The 12,673-nt window shown below is 39.4% G+C and overlaps 1 protein-coding gene across 7 annotated transcripts in view; it reads right to left on the reverse strand.

Annotated features, from left to right (window-relative positions):
- Positions 1 to 12,673, reverse strand: part of RNF150 (ring finger protein 150) — a 353,094-nt gene that overhangs the window by 88,545 nt on the left and 251,876 nt on the right. For all 7 annotated transcript variants that reach the window (XM_047415998.1, XM_011532148.4, XM_017008475.2 and 4 more), the window contains one exon: positions 950 to 1,021. In XM_047415998.1, the coding sequence (XP_047271954.1) occupies positions 950 to 1,021 (72 nt within the window). The remainder of the gene's footprint in view (positions 1 to 949; positions 1,022 to 12,673) is intronic.

Genomic DNA, 12,673 nt, shown 5'->3' on the forward strand with positions numbered 1-12,673 from the left:
AGATTAGAGACAATACCTGCTTATATATGGAGTTGTAAATCCCTTACATTGCCCCAAGGAGTTCCAAACCCATGTATTGTAATCCAATGCTCTAACTTGGCCTAGGGAATAAGGAAGACCCTTAGAAGCCCATAAACCTGGGCAGGACTGCTTTGTTTTCCCTCCTCAAGACATACTATTGCTTTTGGCTTTATGACATCATTCTACAGTGAAGGAGACTACTGAAATGAATTCGGGGCTCTGTGTTTTGATTTTAAAAAAAAATTTTATAGAGACAGGGTCTTTCTACATTGCCCAGGCTGGTCTTGAACTCCCTGGCCTCAAGTGATCTACCTACCTTGGCCTCCCAAAGTGCTGGGATTACAGGCATGAGCCACACCACCTATCAACCTTGGGGTTCTGAATACTGGATTTCAGAGGGGTTGAATATACTTCCTGCATTTATACTGTAGACAAGTGGAGAACATAGCTCAGCACATAAAGCTGTCTTGCTTGCAAAGATTCATGAAAAAACTTTCTCAGGTCATAACATCAGGAACAACCATTTTGATTTTATCTCATGGGACACTGGAATAAATTCATTAAATATTACCTGAATATTGTTTCCTTTGCACTGGCTGCTAGAAAGCCCCAACTTAAATTTGAGACCCATTTCTAGTACAAATTTTAGGTAATCCATTTGTGTACTAATTTCATTCTGGCTTCATCTATTTTTTATACACTTATCAGTTTGTCATATTTTCTATACAACTATTTTATTATCATAGCATACGCATTTTATAACAAACTTCATGTTTAATTAAGAAGAGTATAATAACAGATACTGATAGGACAACTGTTAGCATATATTTCCCTTTCCCATCCTTTCCTCTCTTCCACCCTGGCTATAAGAAAAGTTAGAAGCTTCTTTGAATAGCTCCTCACCAAAAAGAAAAGAGGCTGCTATTACCTTGTCACCCTTCTTGATGGTCCTGATCTGGAGTTTGCTGATGGCTTTCTTTGCTGCATCCCCCAGTCGGCGCTGAAAAGCCAAAACGTGCTTGTTAATAATAAAGATCTGTAATTCTTGACTTCATTTCTGATATCATTTAATACACCAGGGCAGCTAGCTCTGAAATCATGCACATGTGGTATGAATGCTAGCAATGACGACTAGAAAAGACAGGGCAGTGGCATTTGTGCAAGGGGGCTCTACCAGTTGAGGTCTATAAAAGACTTCTGCCATAGAGAGAAGTTCTTCATGCCTAGAGTTAAGCAAGTGCATGTGACATACATAGATCCTGCCCTACAGTTCTACAGTGCAGGTTATATGTGCATACACTACCCCCCCCCAAAAAAAAATGAGTTTAGTAATTTGCCACTCTAGCCACTCAATTTGTGACACAGAGATAGCCAATCTGGAGTAGCTGGAGTAAGTGTCATCTCCTCTTTTTGACAATCAGGATTCATTGCTTGGATATTCCTTCCAATCTGCTCATATAGGCATAACGTTGGTTTAAATTTGGTCTGTTCTGTCCTATTCCATCACATTCTCATGTGGCAATTTTACCTCCTTTATGCATGTTTAAGTGTGAGTGTGCATATAGAAAAATACATAAAACATAATGTTCAGTTTAGCAAATAAGTAACCACCATGATCCATGTCAAGAAATAATATATCATTCTCTCCCCATTTTTGGTAGAGAAAATTACCATCATAATGAGCCCTGCAATAATGCAATCAGAGGGTGATGAGGAAAACTGGGAGAAGGATAGGGTGGTGAGTAAATTAAATTTTAATCTGTCAAGCAAAAAAATTGCATGTGAGTTTTCTACATGTTTTATCTTCTTCTTAGGTATATCTATTTCTGGTCTGCAATAGATGTGTATCTGTTGTAGTAAAACAGAAGGACTAAGATTAAGAGAGTTAACATTTAAACACAGACTAATCATTTGCTTTCACTAATTTTGTTCCTTTTGGAAAAAGCACTCAAGCTTCTTGCTTTTCTTTAAAATAGTGAACACATATTAGTGAACAGTTAATATATCCTAGGTGCCATGCTAAAGCTATATATGCATTATCACCTTTGATATTATAATAACTGAGAAAAGCACTATTTAATAGAATGAACTGAGGCTTACAGAGCTTAAGTAAGTTGTCCAATATCATAGAGTTAGTGAAAGGTAAGTCAGAATCTGAATAAAATTAAGTTTGACTTTAAAATCAAAGCTCATCTACCACCCTCACCTTTATTTGCCAAGCCACCCGGTCAACCAATCAGCCAGTCAGCCAACCATCTAACACCTGGCCAGCCAGTCAGCCATCCATCCAACGTCTGGCTAGCCAGCTAACCAGTCAACCAACCATCCAGCCAATCAGAATCACTAAGTATTTACCACGTGGCACTTCTCTAAGTACACAGCAGTTAAAGTCATTAGCAGAAAAGGAGATGTTTTCCTTGTTAATTCATTTTTCTCTTTGATAGTTTGTCCTGCGTATCTAAAATAATGTTGACATTTTAATTAGAAGGATAAGTTTTGGCTGTTTCCTAAAAGGAGACCTATGCCCTTGAGATTTATGCAGAAGTCCATGAGTAGCTAGCAAACTAAGGCAGCAGGCAAAAATAGGAAGAGTCTTTAGTGATAAATACCAGGAAAAACAGGAGAGCGAGAGAAAAAGAACTGAACTGAGGTGAACTAAACATGACGGAACTTTCCTCTCCTCTTCTTCTGGTTATTATCTATTCATCCTTTGACTTCAGCTGAAATCATTTCTTCAAGGAGCCCTTCCTAGATGTATCCAACAAGATCCCTCTCATCTAGACCCTGATAGCACTTTGTACCTTTGCACTGTCACGTTTGACATTTGAAATTTGTTTTTATGATCAATTCCTGTTAGATTGCCCTCAGATATGCTCCCTGAGGGCAGGCCTATGCTTAGTTTTTGCTTCACATTGTTCCCTATATCCCCAGCATATATTAATAAAGCTGCCTTCAATAATAGGCAGTCAATCATTCAACATACATATTTTGATCTCTTATTCTGTGCCAAGTATAGCTTTGGGTTTAAAAAAATGGTAATGAAAACACATGTGTGCGCATACACACACGTACACACACACACTCCTATCAACTGTAGTTTAATTTATAATCTAGTGAAAACTCTAAATAATGAGTTAATAAAATCTTAAGCCAAGAGTGGTTTTTTGTTGTTGTTGTTGTTTTTTTTTTTTTTTGCAAGGAAAACAACCTGAGAAATTTAGCCAGTTAACGGGAATATTTAGGGACAAACTATAAGTGATACATATTGTAAGGTAAGCAATCTTGTGGTCCTGGCTTGGCAAACCCAGCCAGTATCAACTGACAGCTGCTCTCCATTGAAGGACCCCGGGGCAAGGACTGAAAGGTATTGAGAAAGGGCTACTAGTTATTGGGAGTAAATGCCACAGACCTGTAGAATATTGTATTTAGAATAAGAATCTGAATCCCAAACAAACAAATACTGTTTTTCTTTTTCAGTCAAGAACTCAGATATTTTTGCAATTGTGTTTAACTGGCATTATATAATATTGCACCTAATTCAATCACTTAAAAAAATTTTTTTTGAAGACTAACCAGAGTAATTAAGTAGAAAAATATATGTTCATACAATGGTCATAGATTATACTCAAAGGGAAATAATTTTTTTTTTCTTTTGAGATGGAGTCTCGTACTGTCTACCCAGGCTGGAGTGCAGTGGTGCGATCTCGGCTCACTGCAACCTCTGCCTCCCAGGTTCAAGTGATTCCCCTTGCCTCAGCCTCCCAAGTAGCTGGGATTACAGGTGCCCGCCACCACGCCTGGCTGATTTTTTTTTGTATTTTTAGTAGAGATGGGTTTCACTACGTTGGCCAGGCTGGTCTTCAGCTCCTGACCTCATGATCTGCCCACCTCATCCTCCCAAAGTGCTGGGATTACAGGCATGAGCCACAGCGCCCGACCAGGGAGCCAACATTTTTAAAAAGCAGGTGAACTAGAAATAATGTTTTCAAAATTCAATTTCTTTTAAAATAATTTTTTAGCAAATGAAATATGCCCTTCTTAAATGTGGGCATGTAGGGGAAGTTCAAAGACTGCATTAAACTTTGGCTGTGTATTTAACTTAACTGTTGGCTACATCTGAATAAAAATAGATGGCTTTTGAAAACATCCGCTCAGTCTCTTCTAGAGAAAAAACGCTTTCCACGCCCTTTTAAAATAATGAAGGCTGCCTTTATTTTTTAAAAATGGCAGGTCCGTTGAGGAAATGTAAAGCAAACTGACGTTAAGGTGACAGGGATTTTGGCTAACAGTAAAGTTAATGGCTAGGGAATTAGAAAGACGAATTCCATTACTGGCATTTGTATGACTGGGCCCTAGAGAGGTTAAAGAAGTTCAGCAGAGGATTAAGTCATTTAGGAGATGGGCTTCCCAAATTAGCAGAATTAATAGATTGAGGGAAAGAGAGTAAAAGAGAAAGTACAGTCACGTATGGCTTAATGACAGGGATACATTCTGAGAAATCCATTGTTAGGCGATTTCGTCACTGTGTGAAATCATGGAAGATTACTCACACAATTCTAGATGATACTGCCAACTATACACATAGGCTCTATGGTATAGCCTATTGCTCCTAGGCTAGAAACCTGTACAGCATGTACTGAATACTGTAGGCAGCTGTAACACAATGGTAAGGATCTGTGTATCTAAACATAGAACAGATACAGTAAAAACAGGATATTATAATCTTATTGGACTACTGCATATGTGTGGTCCATTTTTGACCAAAACGTAGTTATGCAGTGCATGACTGTAATAAAGTCATCTTCAACATCAAGTCTATGAGGCCTTCCTCCTAGAAGCTCTGAGAAATCAAATGATTCACAAAGGTAGGAAGACGTATTTTCCTTAATCATTCTAAAAAATGGTATAATGGTATTCTCTTCCATTCCCTTTCCTGTGACATTCGTTGAGTCAAGCCTCATTCTGCATGTTATTGATAAATGATACACATATTTTCTCCTCTTTTGAGGAAAAACATAGCATTTTGGCAGCGGTGGATAAAGGATATGAAAGTCTTCCCTGGCAAGGGCAGAACAGATGGTCCAGATACCTGGGGAAGGAAAATCAGCTTCTGAGATGTATATGATGATATGGGACCATGTAATAAAAGATTTTTTTTTTTTTCTGTAAGAGTTCTGGATTAACAAAATTAGGGAAAAAACAACACAAAGTTTTGAAAAAAATGCAATTTCCATATGCATGTAAACAAGTATCAGTATATGCATGCTTATTCCTAAGTGACATGAAAATTACACACATGCAGAGAAGACCCCATTAAAAAAATTACACAAAGAAAAAAAGTACCACTTTCAATATTTAAAGAGTTTTCAATATTAAAAAAATCTCACTTTCAATAATTTTCAAACTAGTTTTATTGGATTTCCAAATGCAAATTAAAGAGATAAGTAAAAACATAAACATTCTTAATGAAATGGCCCAAATAAGGCTACTTACTGTTGCTTTTGTAATTGATCTCTTCTGTCTTTGGGTTTTTGATTGCACCCAGTACGAAGAGGGAAGGAAAACTACAGGCCCTGCTCAAACTAAGTCTTGTACCCAACCTGAATAGAGAATCTAGGGATTGGAACCGGAAGTCTATTACAAAACAGACTCTTTCCTTTGCCATTCTCAGAAAGGCAGAGTAAAGTGATGCTAATGGAAGACTCAGGGACCACTTCAGGTGGATTGAGGAACCACCTCAGGTTTGAGTCAGTCTTTTGTTTCAGGTAGGGATTCCACTCTTTTCTCTAGGGTGCTCCTATGGATTATTTCTAATCTAACCAGACCCAAATCATGCTTCTTCTTCTTATTATTATTTTTGAGACAGAGTTGTGCTCTGTCACCCAGGCTGGAGTGCAATGGCGTGAATCTTGGCTCACTGCAGCCTCTGCTTCTCGGGTTCAACTGATTCTCATACCTCAGCCTCCTGAGTAGCTGGGACTACAGGTGTGTGCCACTGCACCCAGGTAATTTTTGTATTTTTTGTAGAGATGGGGTTTCACCATGTAGGTCTTGAATTCCTGATCTCAAGTGATCTGCCTCCCTTGGCCTTCCAAAGTGCTGGGATTACTGGCATGAGCTACCCGTGCCTGGCCAAAATCATGCTTCTTACTAAAGCTTGTTAGGTGTTAGGCCATCGTAATAATTAGGTTTATCCATCTATTTGATCTAAACAGATATGAATATATTTACCAAGGTTACTGGTTTATTGACAATAGTGAAGATAAACTGTGTTATGGAAAATAAATACAGAGCCATGTATTAAAATAATAAAGTCCTACATAAATTCTAACAAGAATGGTAAACAACAGACTCCAGTTCAACCCGAGACACATAAATTAGTAATCTAAATATTTAAGAAACTGAGAAAAATAAGAAATTTTCCTCTTCCTCTGTTCTGTGTTATAAATAGAAATGCAGTGAAAGTGATAAAAAAAATTTGGAACATAAGGATTCCAAAACATAGCATCAAAACTGAGTTTATTTTCTTCCTATCTCATTTCATTGGATAATTCTGTATCATATTTGTTTTTTTCCCTAACAGCTGTATTTTATGATCATGTTCATTGTCATCATCACCAAATGGAAAGATAACTAAGTGTTCTTAAGTTCTAGGTGAAGGGAGGCCACTGTCAAAGTAAACAGAGTTGGTCCCAGTTGTCTAAAACCTCACATGGTCAAGAGTGACTGAAACGTTTTCTTCGTGCACTCTAATACATAATAATGATCCTTCCAGGACTGGTTGATATGATAGAAGTCATAGCACAGCCAGTTCAATAAATTTCCATGGTGTGGATCACCACTCCACAAATCTAGAAAAATAGGTAAAATAATTTGACTATTTTGATAGCTGTGATGACCTCATAGAGTGGTGCCATAAATCTGTTTGTGAGCACACAATGTGAGGTAGAAACATCAGGGTTTGTTGTTGTTGTTGTTGGAGGTGTTGTAGAGCAGAAAATAATGGCTTCAAAGTTAGAAGACCCAGCTCTTTGTCCTATTTTTGTCACTAGCTAACTGTGTGACTTTGGCCAAGTCACTTAAACACTGTGGCCCTCTGTCCCCTTATTAATAACATAAGGTATGTAAAGTAATGTCATCTCTAGCTTTATCAGCTCATGATTTTCATCCATGCACAAAAGAATAGGGAGACAATGTGCTTTGAGACCTGAATAATCTAAAAAAAGCAAATCAAGGGCTAATTACCTCACTGAAGACTGCATGGATATGACATGTGCTTTTGCCTTTCTGTTCTCCTGAGGGCTTTGTACTTTCTTCTAGAGCAGTTTCAGGGACAATTTTAGTCCTCACTCTTTAGGAGACAGAAGCATCTCTGCCTGAACTCTCCCTTGGTGGCTGAGACTTGGCAAACTCCTTTCCTTTCTGTTTCTCTTTGTGAAGTTCATGTTTATTTTAAATTTCATTACTTCTTTTATTCCAACATAGTTTAAATATCAATGTGCAATGCGTGCAAAAGAAATCAAAGGCACATGGGCCATGTACATGTAAATATTAGGAAAAGTTATTCTCAGGGAGAGAGAAATCTTTCAGGAAAACTTTACTGAATGTCATTACCAGGCCTCAAATAAAAACAAAGCAAATCAAAACAGATCTGGTTTCCCTGGATTAGCCTCAAAGGCAATATTGTTTATGAAAACCAAAAAAGATCCCTACTTAGTTTATCTGATCTGTCCATATTTGAATAAGCTACCATCTATTGGGAGTTCTGTGTTTTTCAAGTCACAGACCCAGTCCTTGTGTCTGAGATGAGATGTCCTAGCAGATAGTGAGACAATATTCCAAGACATCACAAAAGACAGGGATACCTGCCATGGCCATGGCAGGAACACCGCTTGCTGTTTGCCTTGCCATCCTGCAGGGTTTTCATAAGTATGGTAAGAATCAGTGAATGGCAGCAGAAGTGGCACCTCTAGGGAATGAGGGGATACTTGGCCTTCTGGTGGGGACAGGAGAACTGTCCATAGTGCACACTGGTATTCAGGATCAGGAGTCTGTCATGAATCTGGCCTCCCAACTCAAAGGTCAAGAAGAGGTCACAAGATAGTAGGTCATTAGATAGGCAGAATGGAGATGAATCCTTAGCATTCTCTGGGAAGCCCCTTAAGGTGAGGAATCTTAAACTAGACACAGCCAGCTTTCTGTATGGCAGATTCAACCAATAATGGATTGAACACATTTGGGGGAAAAAACAATAAAAGATCACACTACCTGACTTCAAACTATACTACAAGGCTACAGTAACCAAAACAGCATGGTACTGGTACCAAAACAGAGATATAGATCAATGGAACAGAACAGAGCCCTCAGAAATAACACCACATATCTACAACTACCTAATCTTTGACAAACCTGAGAAAAACAAGCAATGGGGAAAGGATTCCCTATTTAATAAATGGTGCTGGGAAAACTGGCTAGACATATGTAGAAAGCTGAAACTGGATCCCTTCCTTACACCTTATACAAAAATCAATTCAAGATGGATTAAAGACTTAAACATTAGACCTAAAACCATAAAAACCCTAGAAGAAAACCTAGGCATTACCATTCAGGACATAGGCATGGGCAAGGACTTCATGTCTAAAACACCAAAAGCAATGGCAACAAAAGCCAAAATTGACAAATGGGATCTAATTAAACTAAAGAGCTTCTGCACAGCAAAAGAAACTACCATCAGAGTGAACAGGCAACCTACAAAATGGGAGAAAATTTTCGCAACCTACTCATCTGACAAAGGGCTAATATCCAGAATCTACAATGAACTCAAGCAAATTTACAAGAAAAAACAACCCCATCAAAAAGTGGGCGAAGGACATGAACAGACACTTCTCAAAAGAGGACATTTATGCAGCCAAAAAACACATGAAAAAATGCTCACCATCACTGGCCATCAGAGAAATGCAAATCAAAACCACAATGAGATACCATCTCACACCAGTTAGAATGGTGATCATTAAAAAGTCAGGAAACAACAGGTGCTGGAGAGGATGTGGAGAAATAGGAACACTTCTACACTGTTGGTGGGACTGTAAACTGGTTCAACCATTGTGGAAGTCGGTGTGGCGATTCCTCAGGGATCTAGAACTAGAAATACCATTCACCCAGCCATCCCATTACTGGGTATATACCCAAAGGACTATAAATCATGCTGCTATAAAGACACATGTACACGTATGTTTATTGCGGCATTATTCACAATAGCAAAGACTTGGAACCAACCCAAATGTCCAACAATGATAGACTGGATTAAGAAAATGTGGCACATATACACCATGGAATACTATGCAGCCATAAAAAATGATGAGTTTATGTCCTTTGTAGGGACATGGATGAAATTGGAAATCATCATTCTCAGTAAACTATCACAAGAACAAAAAACCAAACACCGCATATTCTCTCTCATAGGTGGGAAATGAACAATGAGAACACATGGACACAGGAAGGGGAACGTCACACTCTGGGGACTGTTGTGGGGTGGGGGGAGGGATAGCATTGGGAGATATACCTAATGCTAGATGACGAGTTAGTGGGTGTAGCGCACCAGCATGGCACATGTATACATATGTAACTAACCTGCACATTGTGCACATGTACCCTAAAACTTAAAGTATAATAATTTAAAAAAATAACAAAAATAATATAAATAAAAAACACAGCATAACCACTACTTACATAGTGTTTACATTAGGTACTAGAAGTAATTAGGTACTATAAGTAAACAAGAGATGATTTAAAGTATATGGGAGGATGCGTTACATGCAAATAATGTGCCATTTCATATAAGGGACTGTAGATTTTGGTATCCATGGGTAGGAGGGGGGTGCTGGACCAATTCCTCATGGATGCTGAGGGATAACTTTATTAGGAAGGTCTTAACATGACAGCCTTGCTTCTAAAGCCGGAAAGGGCCAGCGCTCAGTGTTGAATGGTCAAGAGTTGCTCATTTTATGGCTATGACTGAGGCAAAGACTGGCAACCCGCCCCTGGGTTAGGTCTCTGCACCTCAATGCCATTGAGGTGGCTTCGTCTGGTGGAAAACACTTTGACTTGAAATCATCAATCTGGCTGCATGCCCTTGAAAAGAAAATCATTTTATATTTCTCTCTCCCAAATTCATTCTATCAACTGTTCCTTTAACTTCTAAAAACTGTAATTCTAGGATCAGGCAATCAGCATTCTCAAATACTTGAGTGAAATGACAGCCAGGTGTCTTCTGCCTCCCAGTTCCCATGACTGTGGTTTCCTCTCTGCAACCCTCTGGTACACGGGTTCTCAGGGCTGAGTTGAGAGGTGTCCAGGCTACACGGTGTAGAAGTCCACACACTGGTGGCATCGATGGGCTATTTTCTTAAAGTACTCATCCAGGGGCATGATCAGGGCTGGTGAGGAGAGAGAGGTCTGTCATGGTATTCAAAAGTCATCATGACATGTGTTAAATGGACAGTAAAATATTTTTTGTAATCATTATAGGGCCTTTCTTTCTTTGACAAGTGGGTTGTGGTTTGCAACTTCTCTTTCCATGCCATCAGGGCTTCTACCAGTGCCCTGCTATTTTAACAGGTGAAGAGTCTGATATAAAAGGTTTCCTTCACCTGAAAACCATTCCCTCAGCTTCCTCTCCCAACCTGGCCTGCCTTGCTCGACCACTGTTCCCATTTTTATGATAAATCTGGCTCCTAACTCCACATGGTCCTATGTACTTAATACCCTGGGTTATCCTCTTGCCTTATAACCCTGGCCTGCTTAAGACTCTGATTCTACTTCGCACCAAAACCATTGTTAGATATAAACCCTACTCACTTTTATGTGGTCCCAGCTCCTAAAACCCCAACCTTGACCCCCATCTAGCTGCCTGGGGGTGTGACATTTATGTCTGATTATGTTAAAGAGTATTGTGGGCTTGGTCAGAGATAAGATTCCACTGGGCTGGAATATGACATTAGGAAATTGGCTCCCTAAATGTGCTGTGTGTGCTCTGAGTAGAGCCGCATCCTAATCCACATGCTCCTAAGTGTCACAGGGCTTGAATGGGAATGAATCCATTCACCTCCCTGAGCTCTGTGCAGAGAGAGCTTGAAACAATTAGTCACTGGACTCAGGCACATATAGGCCATCTGACAGACCAAGGTCTCCAAAGGAAAATGGTCTCAAGAAAAAATGATAGGGCTACCAGGAAAAACAAGCATCGCGAGTGAAGAGGGTGGCTGTGGAACAGTTAACCTCGAACAGGGAAGCAATGGCTCCACATGGCGTGTGAGGCTGTCCTTGGTCTTTGCAAATCAGCCTCCTTGTTTCAACTCCCTCAGAGTGTCATTGTGCACTGGGAAGGCAAGGTGTAAGGCAAGGAGAGAAAAATTCCAGATAGTGGTAAGAATTGGGAAGGAAAGAAACTAACATAAAATGATATGATTGCGGGAGAGAGGCTGGGGTAGAGGTGAGGCCGTATTAGAGTATCTCAGGCTCAGGCTACAGAGCGCTTCTGCAATACCCTCTCCCCAAGTGAGCTCATCCTGTCCTGACAATTTTAGTGTCATCTGTATTCTGATGATCCCCCACATTGGTACCCCCATTCCTGTCTTCTTTCCTGAGCTCCAGACATACACATCAAAATACCTACCTGGCATCTCTGCTTCAATATCTAAAAGGCTTCTAAATTTAACATCGTCAAATCCAAATTCTTGATACTCTAGCCCTTTGGTTCTCTTCTTTTTCCATCTTTCCTGTTCCAGTAAATGCCATGAGAGTTGACCTAAATGTGTCCTTGATTCCTTTCTTTCTCTCACACATATGGTAACCATAGAACTCACCATCCAAACTGGAACAATTCTGACAGTAAATTGGGGAGTTATTAATAATTAGGCTGTGTGATACTGTGATATATAATAAGGACTATCTATATTTTGGTCTTCATTCCAGCTCCCAGCTAGAACTCCTAAAATGCTTGTAATTTCCTAAGTGATGGGAGTGATAAAGGTAAATGGGTAGTTTTTATAATTCATAAGAAACACTTTTCAACCATACCTGAGTTTATGTTAATGAGGTAACTTTGGAAAGCTTCTAAGAAAAAGGTCTGGTTGCATAGAGAACCAATCCTGTGATTAGAGGGTTGGAATTTTCAGATTCCCTCACTCCTACCCCTGCCCTCTAGGGAGGGAAGAGGGGCTTGAAGGCTGAGTTGATCAACAATGGCCAATAATTTAATCAATCATGCCTACATGATGAAACCTCAATAAAAACCCCAAAGGATAGGGTCCAGAGAGCTTTTCCCTGACTCTTGAGTAAAGATGGAAGATTCCATTTTGTTTCAAAGTGTGTCAATAGAGCTAAAAAGGCCATATGTAGACTAAACTATATGTAAGGTATGTAAGAATTGAGATATTTACTATTTGCGCAGGTGTGGGGGGAAGGTGGGGAATATATTTTCCAAGAATTGCTTTATCCACTAAACGTGACCCATTTAACAACCCTCTAATAATATGTCACGCATATTTTCTCATTCAACCCTCACATCAAGCCTACGGGGCTGGCTTTACATGTGGGGAAGCCTGGGCATAGAAAGGTGAAGTAACTTGTGCAAAGTCACACCACTAGGAAT

This window comes from Homo sapiens, chromosome 4 (genome assembly GCF_000001405.40).
Source record: "Homo sapiens chromosome 4, GRCh38.p14 Primary Assembly".
Classification (NCBI taxonomy): Eukaryota; Metazoa; Chordata; class Mammalia; order Primates; family Hominidae; genus Homo; species Homo sapiens.